Source organism: Homo sapiens, chromosome 12 (genome assembly GCF_000001405.40).
Source record: "Homo sapiens chromosome 12, GRCh38.p14 Primary Assembly".
Lineage (NCBI taxonomy): Eukaryota > Metazoa > Chordata > Mammalia > Primates > Hominidae > Homo > Homo sapiens.
In genome coordinates this window covers 55,643,946-55,664,567 of record NC_000012.12, presented here as the reverse complement: position 1 = coordinate 55,664,567, position 20,622 = coordinate 55,643,946, and the positions used below count along the sequence as shown (strand labels likewise).

Sequence of the window (20,622 nt, the reverse complement as noted above, 5' to 3'; positions counted from 1 at the left end):
CAGGGTGGGCTTCCAGCTGCCTTAATACAAGTACTCAAGTCTTTTGGGTAGTGAGCTGGAAAGCCTACAGGAAGAGGGGTACCTATTTTCATTTGAACCTTTAAACCTTTAAAACTAATCTCAGGGCTGGGTGCGGTGGCTCACGCCTGTAATCCCAGCACTTTGGGAGGCTGAGGCGGGCGGATCATAAGATCAGGAGATCGAGACCATCCTGGCTAACATGGTGAAACCCCGTCTCTACTAAAAATACAAAAAATTAGCCGGGCGTGGTAGCGGGCACTTGTAGTCCCAGGTTACTCAGGAGGCTGATGCTGGAGAATGGTGTGAACCCGGGAGGCAGAGCTTGCAGTGAGCCGAGATCACACTACGGCACTCCAGCCTGGGCGACAGAGCGAGACTCTGTCTCAAAACAAACAAACAAACAAACAAAAAACTAATGTCAGATAAACTTTTGGTGCCCATGCTGCTGTAGTTGTTCACTGCTTTCCTGGATGGACGGGACTCTTATGTTGTAACTTCCATACTCCTTTGGCCCATAGCTAAGGCCATCCTTCCCCACAGGGGTGGCTTTGGGATTGGATGATACAGGTTTTGCTTCTGTGTAGTATACCTGTACATATCTGTTTCAAGCAGCCTTTCTTTAATGTTTTCGGTTGGTTTGTATTCTGTAGCTCAGTAGCTGCTGACAAAGTTAAAGATCCTGAAAAAAATTTTTTTTTTCTGACTACAAAGACCCAGAGGAGATGGTTGTATTTTTTTTTTTTTAAATTAAGAAATAGAGATGGGGTTGCCTAGGCTGGTCTTGAACTCCAGGCCTTAAAGCAATCCTACCACCTCAGCCTCCCAAGAGTCAGGGATCACAGGCATGAGCCACTGCACCCTGCAGATAGCTCTATTTTTAATTCTTTAGGAACCTCCACACAGTTTTCCATAATGCCTCCACCAATCTACATTTGATTGTTGGGTTGTTTCTTCAGGACTCACTCTCTCCCGAGTCCCTGGGGGACTCTTGAGGAAGTGTGGTTAAAACATAATACCAGGAGAAAGTACTTCTAGAATGGTGGAAAAACACTTCTGAAAATCTGCTCTTCTGTAAGAGCAGCAAGAACATTGGCAAAAATTGTCAATATCAAGTTTTTCAGAACTCTAGAAATTAACCAAAGGCTTACAACAACCTTAAGAGTTTTTTCAAGAAAAGTGGCTGGCTCTTGTAAGAACGGTGAGGTTTGTGGTGTTTTAACTTGTCCTGTTTCCACCCCTTCTTCCCAGCTCTATGGTGGCCTTGAAACCAGCAGCCTTGGAACCAGAGTCACTGAAAACCAGAGGTCTAGCAGCCATTGGAGGTGGTAGAGTGGGTTTCAAGATCCCCAAAGACCTGGTTGCCAGAGAATTGTCACTATTCGACATGTCTAGAAGATCCCTGGAAAAGCCTCATTCATAGGGCTTATCTTTATTTGGTCACTGAGGAAAGCCCTTTCCCCAGAGCATTGGTAAAATAATCAGTGGCAATTTAAGAATTGCAGTTGCCTGAGATAGTGATACACACTGGGGCAAAATCAGGCTGGCCAAAATCTTACAGAGAAAATCTGGGGATGTTCATAGGGGGCTTGGAAAGCTCTTACTTATTCCTGGGGGTCTAGAAGGCAACACACATGTGCAAGGCTGTGCACCTCTCACTTCTGGCTCACCTTAAAGCCCTGTGCAAGCAGCAAGTGAAGCCTAGGTCAGAGTAATTGGAGTATTGAAGGCATCACACACACACATGCACACGCACGCACACTCACATGCACACACACACTCCTCAACAAAGGGTGGGAGATTCAATGGTCAAAGGCATTTAAGGAAATCTCTGTTTCGGCATTAGCTGACTGCTAAGCTAACCAAGCAGACACACCTGACAAAGAATACACAATTTACAGACTTAGTCCAGGAAAGTCACTAAACAAATACACATACGAGAGCAGCAATAGCAGTAGCAGCAGCCACAACAAACAGCAACAACAAAAAGTCCTGAGGGAGTAGGAATCTGATTTCTGAAGCTGCCACAGTGTATTACTTAAAATATTGTGGTTTCTGTGAAAGATGCCAGTGGCAACAGCTTTGCCACCCAGCTCTCCAACATTTTTGTTATTGGCAAAGGCAACAAATCATAGATTTCTCTTCCCCAAGGAAAATGTATCCACCTCACCATTGTCAAAGAGAGGGACAAGAGACTGATTGATGGTCAAACAGAGCAGTGGGTAAAATGGTCTCTAGATGACATGTTGGAAAGGTCTTTGCATTTAGTCAAAGATAATACAGTATGATTAAAAAATAAAATGTTGGCCAGGCGCGGTGGCTCACACCTGTAATCCCAGCACTTTGGGAGGCTGAGGCAGGCGGATCACCTGAGGTCAGGAGTTTGAGACCAGCCTGGCCAACGTGGTGAAATCCAGTCTCTACTAAAAATAGAAAAAAATCAGCCGAGTATGGTGGCATGTGCCTGTAATCCCAGCTACTCAGGAGGCTGAGGAAAGAGAATCACTGGAACCCAGGAGGCAGAGGTTACAGTGAGCCAAGATCGTGCCACTGCACTCCAGCCTGGGAGACAGAGTGGGACTCTGTCTCAAAAAAAAAAAAAAATAAAAAAATAAAAAAATAAAAAAGAAAGCAATCAATAGGCTTGTTTCTCTGAGAAAGCTCAGACGTTGGACTTACTAGACAGATAATATTTCCTTATAATCCTCTTTATTCTGTAAGATCAGTAGTGATGTCCCCTCTTTCATTCCTGATTTAAGTAATTTGACTCTTTCTCTTTTTTTTCTTTGTCAGTCTAGTTAAGAGTTTGTCAACTTTGCTAATGTTTTCAAAGAACTAACTTTTCATTTTGTTGATTTTTCTCTATTGTTTTTCTATTTTTGATTTCCTTTCTTTCTTTCTTTCTTTCTTTCTTTCTTTCTTCTTTTCTTTCTTTCTTTCTTTCTTTCTTTCTTTCTTTCTTTCTTTCTTTCTTTCTTTCTTTCTTTCTTTCTTTCTTTCTTTCTTTTTCTTTTCTTTTTTTGACACAGCCTCACTCCATCACCCAGGCTGGAGTGCAGTGGTGCAATCTTGGCTTACTGCAACCTCCACCTCCTATATTCAAGCGATCCTCTCACCTCAGCCCCCCAAGTAGCCGGGACTACAGGTGTGCACCACCACGCCCTGCTAGTTTTTGTATTTTTATAGAGATGGGGTTTTGCCATGTTGGCCAGGCTGGTCTTGAACTCCTGGCCTCAAGTGATCCACCCACTTCCGCCTCCCAAAGTGCTGGGATTATAGGCATGAGCCACCATACCCAGCCAAGAGGTTGGAGTGAGCCAAGATCGGGCCACTGCACTGCAGACTGGGGACAGAGTGAGACTCTGTCTCAAAAAAAACCAAAAAACAAAACCCACGAAAAAACCTTTTGTGCTTCTAAGGATACCGTCAACAAAGTAAAAAGATAATCCATGGAATCAGAGAACATATTTGCAAATTATATCTAGTAAGAGCCTTGTATCCAGAATACATAAAGCAGTCATATAACTCAACAACAAAGAGTTGAATAACCCAATCAAAAAATGAAAGAAGGATTTGAACGGACACCTCTCCGAAGAAGATATACAAATGGCCAATAAGGACATGAAAGATGCTCAACATTGTTAGCCGTTGGGAAATGGAAATCAAAACCACAAGGAGATACAAATTCATTCCCACTAGGATGGCTGAAATAAAGACAATAACAAGTGTTGATGAAGATCTGGAGAAATTGAAACCCTCATTCATTGCTGGTGAGAATATAAAGTGATGCAGCCATTTTGGAAAACTGTTTAGCAGTTCCTCAAAGTATTAAACCTAGAGTTACCATCTGACCCAACAATTCAGTTCCTAGGTATACACGCAAGAAAGCTGAAAACATGTGTCTGCACAAAAACTTGTACATGAGCATTCATAGTAGAATTATGCATAATGGTCCCAAAGTTTACACAACACAAATGTCTATATAATGAAGAATGGATAAATAAAATAATATAGCCATACAATGGAATATTATTTGTCAATAAATGGATTGAAGTATTAAAACATGCTACAGCATTGATGAACCTTGAAAACATCAAGCTGAGTGAAAAAGTCAGTCACAAAAGATCACACATTGCATGATTCTATTTGTACAAAATGTCCAGAATAAGCAAATCCATACAGAGACCATATGGTAGTGATTGCTGGGGGTTGGGAGGAAGGAAGAATGAGGAGTGATTCCTAAGGGGTACAGAGTTACTTTTTGGATTGATCAAGTGTTCTAAAATCAGTGATGATGGTTGCATAATCCTGTGTCTACAGTAAAAACCACTAAATTGTATATGTTAAATGAGTGGATTTTATAGTATATAAATTGTACCTCAATAAACCTGTAACAAAATAGAAACAAAACTAGATGTTCCTTCTTTGCCTTTCTATGTTAAAAGGAAAATAGAAACAATGATTTCTACTCTTGGATCATTGGTTCTCAACTGGGGGCAATTTTGTCCCTCAGGGGACATTTGGCCATATCTGGGGACATTGTGGTATCACAATTGGAGGGAAGGGTGCTACTGGCATCTAGTGGGCAGAGGCCAGGAATGCTGCTAAACATCCTACAATGCACAGAACAGCCCCCACAACAAAGAATTATCTGGCCTTAATGTCACTAGTACCAAGGTTGAACAGTCCTGCCTTACAACAAACTCATCGGGAAAGAGCAGGGTCATGGTGCATCCTCTCTCTCCCACAACCACAGAGGTCCCTCAGTGCCAGGGCCTCCCCTGTGTCGAGGGCGGCTCTTAGAATCCATCCTGGGAAACTCACCGTCAGGGCAACGGTAAGGCTGTGAACCACCGTCATCTCTCTAGGAGTGTCCTTGGGAGTAACTTTTGTCTGGTCTCAGTTCCAAGAATAGTTGTGCTTCCCTGCGTCATCTGTCTGTTTTATCTCATGGACACCGTGAACTTCAGAACGGACCAGACTTTCCTTTTTGGGTTGGCTGCTGAACAGTTTTGAGTCAGACTTGTGGCTCACCCTTAGGAAGGGTACAGGTCTTGTATTTCACATTTTTAAGGTTCATTCCTGGTGCGATTTTAGATCCCTATTTCCATCTTTCTTTTTTAAAGTCTCTTTTTTCTTTGTATTTATTTGTTCCTAGTTTTAATACCTGCCATCTCATGGTGTTTTACATGTCTTGGTAAGCTATTTATGCTGTGCAACAGGACTCTGAAAAAATAAATATAAGCAGCGAGTCTCTCCTTAGCTGTGAGACGGGAGTGGCGGGAAGAGTTGTGGGTGGTATGACAGAGGCATAGTGAGGTCTGTGGGCAAGGACCAGTGACCTCCCCATAGGGTGTACTTCCCACTCCAGGAGACTGGGCAGGTGCTGAGGAGTCAGGGTATGAGGAGGTAGGGGGTTCCTAGAGGAGATCAGCTGTTCTTGGATTGCTGTGCAGGACACTGCAGGCTTTTAGTGGTGGAAAAAGCTGGGCTTTCAGAGGATAAGTAACAGATGTGGGAACAGACCTGGTAGGAGAGGGGGCTCTCAGGTGGGCAGGACTGGGTGGTATATTAGGGAGTGTCCTGGACTGGGAGCTGGGGATTAGGCTTCTAGGTTTCAAGTCTGAGTTCTGCTCTTGTTGGCCAAGTGACTTTGGCCTGGTGACTAAGGAGTCACCTGGCTCCTTAATTTACTATCACTAAACCAGAGTATTAATGAATACCTGCTAGGTTTATCTCTGGGGTTGATGTGAGTGCCAAATGAGATGATGCAATGAAATTGCACAAGTGCTCTATTCATTGCTAGGCTGCAAATCTTTTCTTTTTTTAAATGTTGAGGGACAAAAATAATTGTGGAATTATTATGGCTGTGATTACAGTTGTGCTTCATGGAGATGGTCCTATTTGGAGCAGGTAATGACTGTGGCAGAGGCACTGGGTGCTGTGGAGCTGGGGAGCAGGCCTCAAGGAAACAGAGAGACTTGACTGATCCCAGGGAATTAATTAAAACTTACCCAGCATCTGTGGGGAGAAAGTACATGTTAATCATTACGTTGCATTCGGATGTACACAGTTTATTGCTTAGACTTTCAGAGTGAAAAGGATCTCAGGGGTTTACAGAGCCCAGTCCCCTGTCTCAAGTACTCTCTCAGGAGCTCTTAGCACAGGTAAGATCTTTGCTCACACATTTTCTGCAAGAAAAAAAACCAAAACCAAACAAATAACCGCTCCCTGACCCCGGAATTTGGCCCAGGAGAGTCAAGAAGTTGCAGGGTTCAGGGTAAATGGCTTCCCTAGACTTACGTGGGAATACACCACCCAGTGCTGCCCACCTTCGGGCCCCCTCTCCTAGCAGCTCTGTTCCCTCATATGTTTTCATGATCTCTAGGGAAGAGACCACTGCAATTCTAATTTCTTGGGTCTAATTGCAATGTCTTCAGCTACAACTTGAGGCCAGTTTCACCTTCTAACTTTGTGGGTTGGCCAACAGCCACTGATCCCCTTTCTTGTTGTTTTTTCTTTGTAGACCTCTGTGGTCATGGTCTCCTTTCTCTTATGTTCATGTTATTCTTCAGTTCATTTTCCCTCACCTTGACTTCCTTCATTCCTTCCTTCTCCATTTGGAGGATGTCCCATCTGGAGTGAGAGTGGACTGTCTTGTGCACGGGTATACATTTGCACAGGACCTGTGGCCTCTGTCCTGTGCTGCCTCACACCTTGCCCTTAGGTACTGTGGCTTGAGCTCATTGGCACTTAGGGAGCCCCTGCCATGGGAGCATCAGGGAAATTCTGCCCCTATCTCTGGCCATGCTTGACACTCTCCTGCCAGGGCCACTTCTTGCACCATCTTTGTCCCCTATCTCAATGTGCCTGTTCCTCCCCCAGGATCCCTGTAGAGACACTGAGTTCTGCTGCTGAGGCAGGAGCATGGAAGAGGCTTCTGTCTTGGGGAAGGCAGGCTTGTGGCTTAAACTCTTCCTATTCGTACAATGTCTGATCCCATGGTGGCCTATTTGACCCTCTGAGCTTTGCACTCTGGACTTCAGTGAAGTAAGTCTCTGGGATCTTGCACCCATGGAAGCACCCTCAGTCTCTCAGGGGCCCAGTTGTGGTACCTTACATCACCAATGGCCCCTTCCTTCCCCTAAACTTTGATCCCTGTCTCTGACTTCATGGCTCTGCTGTGGAACAGGTGCTGATTGGAAAAGCTACCTTTACTGGTGGGGATTACTCTGGGCTTTCCCGGCTACTCTTTCTGTGGGTAGGATTGTCCTGCGCATGCACACACACACACACACACTCACACGGACCTTGACACATTCAACACAAGGCACACATCCACACATAGACTTGCAGTAGATGGGCTGGTGGAACAGTCCTAGAGACAGCATTACACCAGCATCCTGGAGTCATGGGATCAAGCCCCAGCTCTGACCCTTAGTGACTGTGGATAAACCATATTCTTCTCTGCCTTTGTTTCCTCTTCTGCCACATGATGGAATAAGAGCAGGTGTCTCCAAGGCATCTTCTTTCTGTGACCCAGATGCAGACACGTTACAGAGACAGGTGGGGTGGGCATTGTGTTTGGAGGCTGGGTTTATAGTGTCTAGTTCCACTGGCTTAGGGGGCAGATAGACTAAGTTTGGGTCTGGCTCTGTTGCTGTAGGGCTGTGTGACCTCGAACAAGGAACTTCATTTCTCTCACCCCAGTTTCCTCATCAGCAGAGTGGGATTATTTAAACTTTGTATCAGGTGGTGATTTATGTAACAGTGCCGTGTCCCATACATGATATATATTATTACTGGTCTTAGCTCAGTCATTAATTCACTAATTGATCTTGGGTAAACTAAATGAGTTCTTCTCGACTTCATCGTCCTCCTGTGCAGAATGAAGGGTTTGGACCAGTAGAAGATGTTCAAGACCGCCTTTACCGTCTCCCAGGCAGCTCAGGGACGGGGGACGCCTTGTTGAACATGGCTGTTCAGAGATTTACCACACGGGGGCGATATGACCCCATTTGAACCGGCTCCAGAACAGCAGATTTTTGGGAAAAGCAAACAAAACTTCAATTTTTGGTCCATTTTTCAGACTCTACTCCTTCTTATTTTTATTTTTGACTCACCTTAACCAGAAATTTCAGAAATTTTGAACATCAGAAAGCTGGAAACAATGTAAGTACTTAGCACTCTGTGTTCTGCTTGTAGCCTTTCTACCACGCATGCATTTAAAAAATGTGCACTAACGGCCGGGCGCGGCGGCTCACGCCTGTAATCCCAGCACTTTGGCAGGCCAAGGCGGGCGGATCACGAGGTCAGGAGTCTGAGACCATCCTGGCCAACATGGTGAAACCCTGTCCCTACTAAAATAACAAAAATTAGCTGGGCGTGGTGACGCGCACCTGTAGTCCCAGCTACTCAGGAGGCTGAGGCAGGAGAATAGGAGAATTGCTTGAATCCGGGAGGCGGAGGCTGCAGTGAGTGGAGATCACGCCACTGCACTCCAGCCTGGAGACAGAGTGAGATTTTGTCTCAAAAAAAAAAAAAAAAAAAAAGGGCATTGACAATTGGGAAATATTCACTATTGATCAAGTTCCTTTTTTTTTTTTTGAGGCAGTGTCTGGCTCTGTCGCATGGGCTGGAGTGCAGTGGCGCGATCTCAGCTCACTGCAACGTCCACCTCCTGGGTTCAAGCGATTCTCTCATCTCAGCCTCCCGAGTAGCTGGGACCATAGGTGCCGCCACTCGACCCAGCTAATTTTTGTATTTTTTTGTAGAGACGGCGGCGGGTGGGGGGCGGGGTTCCCTATGTTGCTCAGCTGTTTTTTTTTTTTTTTTTTTTTTTTTTTTCCGAGACGGAGTCTCGCTCTGTCGCCCAGGCTGGAGTGCAGTGGCGCGATCTCGGCTCACTGCAAGCTTCACCTCCCAGGTTCACACCATTCTCCTGCCTCAGCCTCCCGAGGAGCTAGGACTACAGGAGCCCGCCACCACGCCCGGCGAATTTTTTTTTTCGTATATTTAGTAGAGACGGGGTTTCACCGTGTTAGCCAGGATGGTCTCAATCTCCTGACCTCGTGATCCGCCTGCCTTAGCCTCCCAAAGCGCTGGGATTACAGGCGTGAGCCACCGCGCCCGGCGCTCAGGCTGGTTTTGAACTCCTGGGCTCAAGCCGTCCTCCCACCTAGGCCTCTCAAAGTGCTGGGATTACAGGCGTGAGCCACCACACGCGGACTACAAAATAAAACTATTGATAAAACATTTCTAAAGGCGTAAAGTAGGCACAATTGGTTAAAAATAGGCGTTAAAAATGTCAAAATAAGGGAAGGCTAGACCCAGTTTACCGGAATTGCGCTGGTGATGGAGGGTTGCTAGTATACCACAATTATGTTTATTATGTCCCATAACCGAGGGGCCGTCATGGCCATGAAGGAGAAGAGCTGTTTGGCTATAGCTGCAGACAGGCGCTTCGGGATCCAGGCCCAAATGGTTACCACGGACTTCCAGATCTTTCCCATGGGTGACCGGCTGTATATCCATCTGGCCCGGCTCGTCACTGACATCGAGACAGTTGTCCAGTGCCTCAAGTTCCGGCTGAACCTGTGTGAGTTGAAGGAAGGTCGGCAGTCAAATCTTATACCCTATGAGCATGGTGGCCAAGGCCTCTTGTCTGAGAAACGTTTGGCCCCTACTATACTGAGCCAGTCATTGCTGGGTTGGACCTGAAGACCTTTAAGCCCTTTATTTGCTCTCTAGAGCTCATTGGCTGACCCATGGTGACTGAAGACTTTATGGTCAGTGGCACCTGTGCAGAACAAATATATGAAATGTGCGAGTCCCTCTGGGAGTGCAACATGGATCCAGAACAGCTGTTTGAAACCATCTTCCAAGCCATGCTGAATGCTGTGGACCGGGATGCCGTGTCAGGCATGGGAGTCATTGTCCACATCACTGAGAAGGACAAAATCACCACCAGGACACTGAAGGCCCTAATGGACTAACCCTGTTCCCAGAGCCCACTTAAAAAAACAAAACAAAACAAACAAATATATATATATGTATATATCCTTTCTTAAAAAAATCAAAATAAAACATTCTATCATTTTGTTTAAATGTTTTATACACTATTTTTTCCTATTGTATGATTAGTGGATCTCAAATATAAAAATATAAAACCAAAACAACATAATGAACACCCAAATCCATTCCACTTAGAGCTTATCATTGTTAATACTTTGGTATGTATGTGTCTATTTATCTATTATCTATTGATCTGAATACATATATTTTATACATCTAGATACATATTTTATCCAGATGTATATATATCTATCTGTCATGTATTGATCTGAATACATATTTTATTGAAAATTTAATATTTTTAATCTTTTTTATCATTTAGCAATACATTATAAACTTCTATGTCAAAAAACGTTTAAAGAATAACATTTCGTTTTAGAATAGTTGTGAATTTATAGAAAAATTGCTAAGATAGTACATGTGATTCCCATATACTCCACACCCAGTTTCCTTTATTATTGTCTTAAATTAGTAGGTACATTTGTCACAATTAATGAACCAATATTGATACATTATTATTAATTCAAGTCTGTACTTTAGTCAGATTTTCTTCGTTTTCATTTAATGTCTTTTTTTTTTGTTTCAGGATTCCATCCAGGATAACATATTACATCCAGTTGTCATGTCTTCCTAATTTCTCAGACTTTCCTGTTTTTGATGATCTTGACAATTTCAAGGAGTAGAGTAGTTAGGTGTTTTTAGGGTGCACTGTTATTGAAATTTTGTTTTCTTTTTTTTTTGAGATGGAGTCTCACTCTGTCACCCAGGCTGGAGTGCAGTGGCGCAATCTTGGCTCACTGAAAACTCTGCCTCCCGGGTTCACGCCATTCTCCTGCCTCAGCCTCCTGAGTAGCTGGGACTACAGGGGCCCGCCACCACGCCCGGCTAATTTTTTTGTATTTTTAGTAGAGATGGGGTTTCACCATGTTAGCCAGGATGGTCTTGATCTCCTGACCTCGTGATCCACCCACCTTGGCCTCCCAAAGTGCTGGGATTACAGGCGTGAGCCACCGCACCTGGCCCTGTTATTCCACTTTATCTGATGTTTTTATCATGATTAGTCTGGGGTTATGGATTTTGGGAGGAAGGCCATAGAGGAAATGTGAGTACATGAGATTTGGGAGGGGCTGGGGTGGAATGATATGGTTTGGCTGTGTCCCCACCCAAATCTTATCTTGAATTGTAGTTCCCATAATCACCACGTGTGGTGGGAGGGACCCCGTGGGAGGTAATTGAATCATGGGGGCGGTTCCCCCATGCTATTCTCATGATAGTAAGTTCTCACAAGATCTGGTGGTTTTATAAAGGGCTGTCACTGTCAATGTTGACCACAGTCACCTGCCTGAGGTGGTGTGTTTGTCAGGTTGCTGTATGGTAAAGTTGTTCTTTTCCTTTCCTGTCTAGAAAGTCACTATCTGTAGCCCACACTTAAGGAGTAGGGGGTTATGTCTTCCCTCCTTGAGGGCAAGCTACCTACACTTTTTTATATTTACATATTTTTACATATTTTATTTATATATTATTTATATATTACATATTTACATATTTTTTGGAGTTTTTAACACACTTTTGCAACCTAAAAAAGAAAAATAACCCAAACAAACAAGAGACTGCCTTGTATTAGAAGTATCTCCAAAGAACACTATGAGGATATGAATCTGTGACAATGAAGAAAACTTCTTTCTTGGTTAAGTGACATACATAATGTATTACTGTGTTCTCATGCTGAAAATAAAGACATACCTGAGACTGGGTAATTTATAAAGGAAAGAGGTTTAATTCACTCACAGTTCAGCATGCCTGCAGAGGTCTCAGGAGACTTACAATCATGGTGGAAGACATCTCTTCACAGGGTGGTAGGAGAGAGAATGAGCACTGAGTAAAGGGGGAATCCCCTTATAAAACCACCAGATCTTGTGAGAACTTACTCACTATCATGAGAATAGCATGGGGGAAATCGCCCCCATGATTCAAATTACCTCCCACCAGGTCCCTCCCTCCGCACGTGGTGATTATGGGAACTACAATTCCAGATGAGATTTGGGTGGGGATATGGCCAAACAATATTTTTCCACCCTGGCCCCTCCCAAATCTCATGCCCTCACATTCCAAAACACAATCATGCCTTTCCAACAGACCCCCAAAGTCTTGGCTCATTTCAGCATTAACCCAAAAGTCCAAGTCCAAAGTCTTATCTGAGACAAGGCAAGTCCTTTCTGCCTATGAGCCTGTAAAATCAAAAGCAAGTTAGTTACTTCCTAGATAAATGGGGGTACAGTCATTGAGTAAACACACCCATTCCAAATGGGAGAAATTGGCCAAAACAAAGGGGCTACAGGACCCATGCAAGTCTGAAATCCAATAGGGCAGTCACTAAGCCTCAAATTTCCAAAATGATCTCCTTTGACTTTATGTCTCACATCCAGGTCACACTGATGCAAGAGGTGGGCTCCCATGGCCTTGGGTAGCTCCATCCCCATGGCTTTGCAGGGTACAGCCCCCCTCCCAGCTGTTTTAATGGCTGGTGTTGAGTGTCTGTGGCTTTTCCAGGTGCAAGGGTGGAAAAGCTGTCAGTGGGTCTACCATCTTGGTGTCTGGAGGACGGTGGTCTTTTTCTCACAGCTCCACTAGACAGTGCCCCAGTGGGGAATCTGTGTGTGGGCTCCAACTCACATTTCTCTTCTGCACTGCTGTAGCAGAGATTCTCTATGAGAGCTCTGCCCCTGCAGTAAACTTCTGCCTGGGCATCCAGGCATTTCCATACATCCTCTGAAATCTAGGTGGAGGCTCCCAAACCTCAGTTCTTGACTTCTGTGCACCCGCAGGCTCAACACCAAGTGGAAACTGCCAAGACTTGGGGCTTGCACCCTCTGAAGCCATGGCCTGAGCTGTACCTCGGCCCCAGCCATGGTTGGAGCAGCTGGGACACAGGGCACCAAGTCCTGAGGCTGCACATAGCCACGGGGCCCTGGACCCAACCCAAGAAACCATTTTTTTTCCTCCTAGGCCTGCGGCCCTGTGATGGGAGGGGCTGCTGTGAAAATCTCTGACATGCCCTGGAGGTATTTTCCCCACTGTCTTAGCGATTAGCATTTGACTCCCCATTACTTATGCAAATTTCTGCAGCTGGCTTGAACTTCTACCCAGAAAATGGGGTTTTCTTTTCTACTGCATTGTCAGGCTGCACATTTTCCAAACTTTTATGCCATGTCACCTCTTGAATGCTTTGCTGCTTTAGAGATTTTTTTCTGCCAGGTACCCTAAAACATCTCTCTCTAGTTCAAAGTTCCACAGCAAAATGCCGCCAGTCTGTTTGCAAAGCAAGAGTGCCCTTTACTCCGGGTTCCCAACAAGTTCCTTATCTCCATCTGTATTAGTCTGTTCTCATGCTGCTATAAATGACTAAGACTGGGTAATTTATAAAGGAGAGAGGTTTAATTGACTCACAGTTCCACGTGGCTGGGGAGGCCTCAGGAAACTTATAATCATGGTGGAAGGGGAAGCAAACATGTCCTTCTTTACATGATGGCAGAAAGGAGAAGTGATGAGCAAAAGGGGGAAGAGCCACTTATAAAACCATCACATCTTGTGAGAACTCACTCACTATCATGAGAACAGCAGCATGGGGGTAACTGCCCTCGTGTTTCAATTACTTCCCCCCAGGTCCCTCCCACAACATGTGGGGATTATGGGAACTACAATTCAAAATGAGATTGGGTGGGGACACAGCCAAACTGTGGCAGGCCAGGTCTCACTAATGCAGGCCTCCATAACAACTGTTTCAGTACTGACTGAGTGGTTAAGTTAAATATTAAAAGCCAGTGCCCTTATACAAAGGCTGGGATGTAACAGTAGCCCGTCAAGAGTTTTGCCTACGCCTTTCTTGGGCCTTAATGCATGACAAAATAACAGGAATTCTTAACAGGACCCATTTAGGATTAAACAAGTTTTATTGTGGGTCTGAAGAAACTCCCCAGGCCTCCACAAACAAGTTTATTGGGGGTCTGAAGGAACTCCCCAAACCTCCATGATTTAGTGGGAGACAAGATAAGGGTAATCACCCCAGCACCTTGACCCATTTAGATTAAGTAAATTTACTGAGGCTCCAGAGAAAGGTCTTCAGGACTCAGATCTTAGTTATAGATTAAAAGAAGTTAATCACTTATGTGTTTAGATAAATATACACTTACATGTAGACATACAGCTTAGAAGGCATGTAAGCTCTGGAAAACTTTGTAATTTTGAGTTGGTCTGGTGATAATTTCCAGGCCTTCTCCCAGTAGCTGGCTACAGAAATAAAAACTCTCTTGCTCCCCAGTTCCTCTGCATCTCATTATTGGGCCACGAGAAATAGCAGCTCGACCCTCAGTTTGGTCCAGGAACAAAACCATATCACCATCTGAGACCACCTCAGCCTGGACTTAATTGTTCATATCACTATCAGCATTTTGGTCAAAGCCATTCTGCAAGTCTCTAGGAAGTTCCAGACTTTCCCACATTTTCCATTTTTCTTCTGAGCCCTCCAAACTGCTCCAACCTCTGCCTGTTACCCAGTTCCAAAATTGCTTCCACATTTTTGGGTATCTTTACAGCAGTGCTCCACTCTGTGTGGTACCAATTTACTGTATTAGTCTGTTCTCACACTGCTAATAAAGACATATCCAAGACTGGGTAATTTATAAAGGAAAGAGGTTTGACTCACAGTTCGGCATGACTGGGGAGGCCTCAGGAAACTTACAATCATGGCAGAAGGGGAAACAAACACATCCTTCTTCACATGGTGGCAGGAGAGAGAATGAGAACCGAGTGAATTGGGAAGCCCCTTATAAAACCATCAGATCTTGTGAGAACTTACTATCATGAGAACAGCATGAGGGAAACCACCTCCATGATTCAATTACTTCCCATTGGGTCCCTCCCACCACACGTGGAGATTATGGGAACCACAATTCAAGATGAGATTTGGGTGGGGACACAGCCAAACCATATCACATATTAAGGACCTACAATTTTTTATTCATTGAGCCATTAGTGCTTGAGAAATACTTTCTTTTGTGTCACCTCTGTCATCCCCTGCTGCAGTAGATGTCATTTGCCCCAACTCAGATCTAAGAAAATGTTTCCTATTTCTAAAGGACAGACAATATTGAAATCTTTTGCAGCAGCTAGGGAGTGGGCTGAACCCCTCAGCTGGGTTGCGAAGTTCTCCCACAAGTCAGGCCTGTTTCTCATTCAGTGGTTTTCTTTGAAGATTAGCACTGTTTTACAAAAGGATTTTTAAAAAGTCCTCTCCCCTCTCCCCTGTCCCCTCACCCCTCTCCCTCTCTGCACGGTCTCTCTCTGATGCCGAGCCGAGGCTGGACTGTACTGCCGCCATCTCGACTCACTGCAACCTCCCTGCCTGATTCTCCTGCCTCAGCCTGCTGAGTGCCTGGGATTGCAGGCGCGCGCCGCCACGCCTGACTGGTTTTCGTATTTTTTGGTGGAGACGGGATTTCACCGTGTTGGCCGGGCTGGTCTCCAGCTCCTGACCACGAATGATCTGCCAGCCTCGGCCTCCCGAGGAGCCGGGATTGCAGACAGAGTCTCGCTCACTCAGTGCTCAACGTTGCCCAGGCTGGAGTGCAGTGGCGTGATCTCGGCTCGCTACAACCTCCACCTCCCAGCTGCCTGCCTTGGCCTCCCAAAGTGCCGAGATTGCAGCCTCTGCCCGGCCGCCACCCCATCTAGGAAGTGAGGAGCGTCTCTGCCTGGCCGCCCATCGTCTGGGATGTGAGGAGCCCCTCTGCCGGGCCACCCAGTCTGGGAAGTGAGGAGCGCCTCTTCCCGGCCGTCATCCCGTCTAGGAAGTGAGGAGCGTCTCTGCCCGGCCGCCCATTGTCTGGGATGTGGGCAGCGCCTCTGCCCCGCCGCCCCATCTGAGATGTGAAGAGCACCTCTGCCAGGCCTCGACCCCGTCTGGGAACTGAGGAGTGTCTCTGCCCCACCGCCACCCCGTCTGGGAGGTGAGGAGCGTCTCTGACCGGCCACCCCCTCTGAGAAGTGAGGAGCCCCTCCGCCCGGCAGCCGCCCAGTCTGGGAAGTGAGGAGCGTCTCCGCCCGGCAGCCGCCCCGTCGGGGAGGTGGGGGGCAGCCCCCGCCCAGCCGCCGCCCCGTCTGGGAGGTGGGGTGTGCCTCTGCCCTGCCGCCACCCCGTCTGGGAGGTGTACCCAACAGCTCATTGAGAATGGGCCATGATGACGATGGCGGTTTTGTCGAATAGAAAAGGGGGAAATGTGGGGAAAAGAAAGAGAGATCAGATTGTTACTGTGTCTGTGTAGAAAGAAGTAGACATAGGAGACTCCATTTTGTTCTGTACTAAGAAAAATTCTTCTGCCTTGGGATGCTGTTAATCTATAACCTTACCCCCAACCCCGTGCTCTCTGAAACATGTGCTGTGTCCACTAAGGGTTAAATGGATTAAGGGCGGTGCAAGATGTGCTTTGCTAAACAGATGCTTGAAGGCAGCATGCTCCTTAAGAGTCATCACCACTCCCTAATCTCAAGTACCCAGGGATACAAGCACTGCAGAAGGCCGCAGGGCCCTCTGCCTAGGAAAACCAGAGACGTTTATTCACATGTTTATCTGCTGACCTTCCCTCCACTATTGTCCTATGACCCTGCCAAATCCCCCTCTCCGAGAAACACCCAAGAATGATCAATAAATACTAAAAAAATTAAAAAAAAAAGTGCTTTCCAGAATTAGCCAGATGTGGTTGTGTGTGCTGTAGTGTCAGCTACTTGGGAGGCTGAAGTGGGAGGATCGCTTAAGCCCAGGAGTTTCAGGTTGCAGTGAGCTGTGTTTGTGTTACTGCACTCCAACCTGGGTGTCAGAGAGTCTCATAAAAAAAATTATATATATATAAAAGAAGAAGGCAGCTAAGCTAGGGAATAATTCTACGCATGGGCCACAAAGGCAGAAGGCAGCCCTTTGGGCAATGGACTGGGCAGTTTAGCAGATAGAAATCGGCCAAGGCATTGAAACACTTGGTTTCTGAGCCCAGCTTCATTCAGGCCTTGCTGACGGACCGCAAATAAATCCCAGCCCCCTCCTCATGTAGTCTCTCCACTGTTTGGGATGGAGACTCTAGACCTAGGAGCTTAGGCACAGTGATGAGGCAGGAGAAAGTCACTTCCTTTTCCCTGGTCCCTGGGCAAAACTTTATTCCCCCTTCTTCATCTTGCCTTGCCTACTTTCCCTCCCCACTCTCTGCTCTGCGAACTAGGCTCTTGGGGAGATTGAGGTGCTGCGAGGGCTGCCCAGGAGGGGCCCCATCTGAAGGTAAAGCCCCACCAGGCCTTTATCCGTGGTCTTTGATCCTGTCTTCTCTCTCACTCTTGCTCTCACTCCCACTCACTCTGCACCTCATGGTGGATCCATTTTTCTTCTGATCTCCTGTCAGCTTTATTCTGTCTGCTCACCCACTTTTCTGCCCATATTCTCAACCACTTTCTCAAAGGCAGCTGTCCCGCTGGTCCCAGCTCTTTGCTCCTAGAGCCCAGAACTCGGGTGAGTGGAACCACCCTGGTGTCCGTTAAGTCCCCAGCCTTGAGGAAGGTCCTGCCATTTTCCCTCAACTCCCCTGGCTAATCTTCCTGTTCAGAGGAGTTTTCTGGGCGGGAAGGAGAGCTGGGCTGTTCCTGTGGCCTCTCCCACAGCTTTCCTGCTGCGGCCTTTGTCTTTGCCTGGATGCTTCCTGGGGCAGCACGAGCCCTCCTCTGGCCCCGTCCTCCAGTCTGGCCTTGGGGACATGGCGGTGGCAATGGCACAGCATGACTGAGCTTGTTTTGTTGGTGCTCTCAGGTTTTGGTTCCGTCCGGGGCCTTCTGTTTTGGGCAGTGCTCTGCAAACATCTGGTGACCCTGCTGGACAACTCCCTGATCGTCGTCCTCGCCCTGGCAGCCTCTGCCTGCGCTGGCCCACGCACTTCCTCCTGCACCACTTCTCCTTAGGGGAGGTCCCACGCCACAGCGGCGGAGTCTCGGATGCAGGCCGATTCCCTTCCCCCGCCGCACTAGCCCACCGGTAGGCGGCTTCCCGCTGCTGGGTTTCTTCGCCCTCCCTGGCATCGCCGAATGCGCTTGCGCAGGGCCATGGCCTCCGCCGCTGTGACGCCATCTGCCGGCCGCTGCATTCTACTACCTGAGGAGCCCTAGTCTTCCGAGCCCGCTTCGCCTTCACCTTGCCCTTCTGCGGCGCAGCACCACCCGCTACTTCCGGCTGGATTCTCGGCCTGTGCTGAGACCTTTAAAATAACACTGATTTTCTTAACTTTTGCAAACTATGCATCTGACAAAGGTCTAATATCCAACATATATAAAGAACTTCGGGAGGCTGAGGCAGGAGAATGGTGAGAACCCGGGAGGCGGAGCTTGCAGTGAGCCGAGATTGCACCACTGCACTCCAGCCTGGGCAACAGAGTGAGACTCCATCTCAAAAAAAAAAAGAACTTAAATTTATAAGAAAAAAAACCAAACAATCCTACTAAAAAGTGGGCAAAAGACATGAATAGACACTTTTCAAAAGAAGACATACATGCAGTCAACAAGCTTATGAAAAAAAGCTCAACATCGCTGATCATTAGGGAAACGCAAATCAAAACCATAATGAGATACCACCTCACACCAGTCAGAATGGCTATTACTAAAAAGCAAAAAACAAAAACAAAACAGATGCTAATGAGGTTGTGGAGAAAAAGGAACACTTGTATACTGCTGATGGGAGTGTAAATTAGTTCAACCATTGTGGAAGACAGTGTGGCAAGGAAGAGAAGAATGGGGAAGGTATAGATACTTAATATTCTTATGATGCAGAAAGGATCCAATGAAGACACAAACTCACTTTTCCTCAGTTTACCAAGGACTGGGTGGGACATATTTGGACTGGAAGTACACTATGAATACCAGGGAGCAAAAAGCCCATGTCTGTCCTTGGGAGTAGGGGACATCAAAGAAGAGAATAGATTTCTTTCTTTTAGTGGAAAGTCTAGGAGTAGAGGATAAGGAGCTGGCTAAGGAAGGCTGACCAGAAGGCTGGGTTGTAGATAGCACTATGACAGGGTGGTTTGGAGCTTGCCTCTGGTGGTTGGCAAGTCCAAGATCAAATCCTGATCATCACTTACCATCTGAAATAGTGGGAGTTTTCTTTACATCTTTGTGCCTTAAATTCTGCATCTGTAAAGTCATGACAATAATCGTTTCTATGTATCACAGGGTTGCTGTGAGGATTAAACACAGCCTTCCTCAGCCATTCTATACCACATCATCACTTGACATATAAATTAACTTGTTTGTTTGTGGCTTCTCTCCTTTCATTAAAATGAGATGTACCATAAAGGGGGAAGGGAAGAAACTGCCTGTCTTGTTTACCAGTGTATCCCTAGTGCCTGGCACATAGTAGGTATTCAGGAAATATTTGCTGAATCGATAAGTAAATGAATATATGAAAGCTGCTTAGCACAGTGCATGTAGGTAATAGTGTTCACTAATCTATTTCGATTATACTATAATTGCTACTACTATCATTTGCCTTCTTATGAACTTTGATGATGACTTTCAGAGCAGTTTTTAGATGTCTTAAAAGTTTGAGACTTTGTTAAAAAAATCCCCCTAAAGTTGCTGGAAAGTTTAAAATGTGTTAATGCTGAAGAGAGGAAGGGGAGAAGTGTGTGTGGGATTTGGGGAAGAGAGTTTTTGGAAAAGAGGAAATCCTGGTGTGAGCTATGAGGGGGATAACTCAGAAAGGATCAGATGGGCCATAGGGGCCATGAAAGAGGAGGAAAGAAGCAGGTGAACAATTCTGGGTTAGAGAAAACCTGACTCTGGTAGCTCAAGGAGTTGAGAGGAATCTTGGAAAACCAGGCTTAGGCAATGATCAGGTACCAAAAGAAGCTGAGAGGCCAGAACCACAGGCCAGGTCATAGCACAGGGGTGGTTGGCTAGGATGCTGCAGGCACTGCTGGCACTGTTGCCCGTGACTCCTCTGGCACCGTGCAGGTGCTGAGGCTGCTGCTGGTGGGCCTGGATGCCACTGTGGTCATCACCAAAATGAATTGTAAACTTTACTTCTTTGAATCACTTGCACCTGATTCAAAGTCTTAGGCAGTTGCATCTGCTAGGACTAGCTAAGATCACAGGGCTGTGTCTCGGCTGTCAGAGTTTAGAGAATCCACAAATTTGGGCCTAATGGCTTCTGTAGAAGTGGATAGAGCTTTGTCCCCCACAAGCTCTATCCACTTAGAGCTTGGGGGGAAGACCCTGTTAAGTTCATGGATGGCCTCCTTTCCTGCCATTATGACCCTTCTATTTGTAGGCCTATTAAGAATGAACTGGGGCCAAGCTCAGTGGTCCACACCTGTAATCCTAGCAATTTTGGAAGGCCAAGGTGGGAGGATCACTTGAGGCTAGGAGTGCAAGACCAGCCTGAGTAACATAGCGAGCCCTCATCTTTACAAAAGTAAAAATAAAAAATTAGTTGGAGGTCATGGCATG

The 20,622-nt window shown here is 46.2% G+C and overlaps 2 pseudogenes, besides 4 other annotated features; both read left to right on the top strand.

Annotated features, from left to right (window-relative positions):
• Nucleotides 2,672-8,075: an enhancer, noted in NCBI's record as "VISTA enhancer hs2573". NCBI's record gives its function as "enhancer in: heart[4/10]" and the evidence as "EXISTENCE:transgenic organism evidence [ECO:0001131][PMID:17130149]".
• Nucleotides 7,915-8,044: an enhancer, noted in NCBI's record as "active region_6452". NCBI's record gives its function as "activates an Ori minimal core promoter by ATAC-STARR-seq in GM12878 lymphoblastoid cells {active_cell/tissue: GM12878}" and the evidence as "EXISTENCE:reporter gene assay evidence [ECO:0000049][PMID:35858748]".
• Nucleotides 8,165-8,244: an enhancer, noted in NCBI's record as "active region_6451". NCBI's record gives its function as "activates an Ori minimal core promoter by ATAC-STARR-seq in GM12878 lymphoblastoid cells {active_cell/tissue: GM12878}" and the evidence as "EXISTENCE:reporter gene assay evidence [ECO:0000049][PMID:35858748]".
• Nucleotides 9,334-10,034, top strand: PSMB3P1 (proteasome subunit beta 3 pseudogene 1; annotated as a pseudogene).
• OR10AE3P (olfactory receptor family 10 subfamily AE member 3 pseudogene) lies at nt 17,906-18,374 on the top strand (annotated as a pseudogene).
• Nucleotides 17,932-18,391: an enhancer, noted in NCBI's record as "active region_6450". NCBI's record gives its function as "activates an Ori minimal core promoter by ATAC-STARR-seq in GM12878 lymphoblastoid cells {active_cell/tissue: GM12878}" and the evidence as "EXISTENCE:reporter gene assay evidence [ECO:0000049][PMID:35858748]".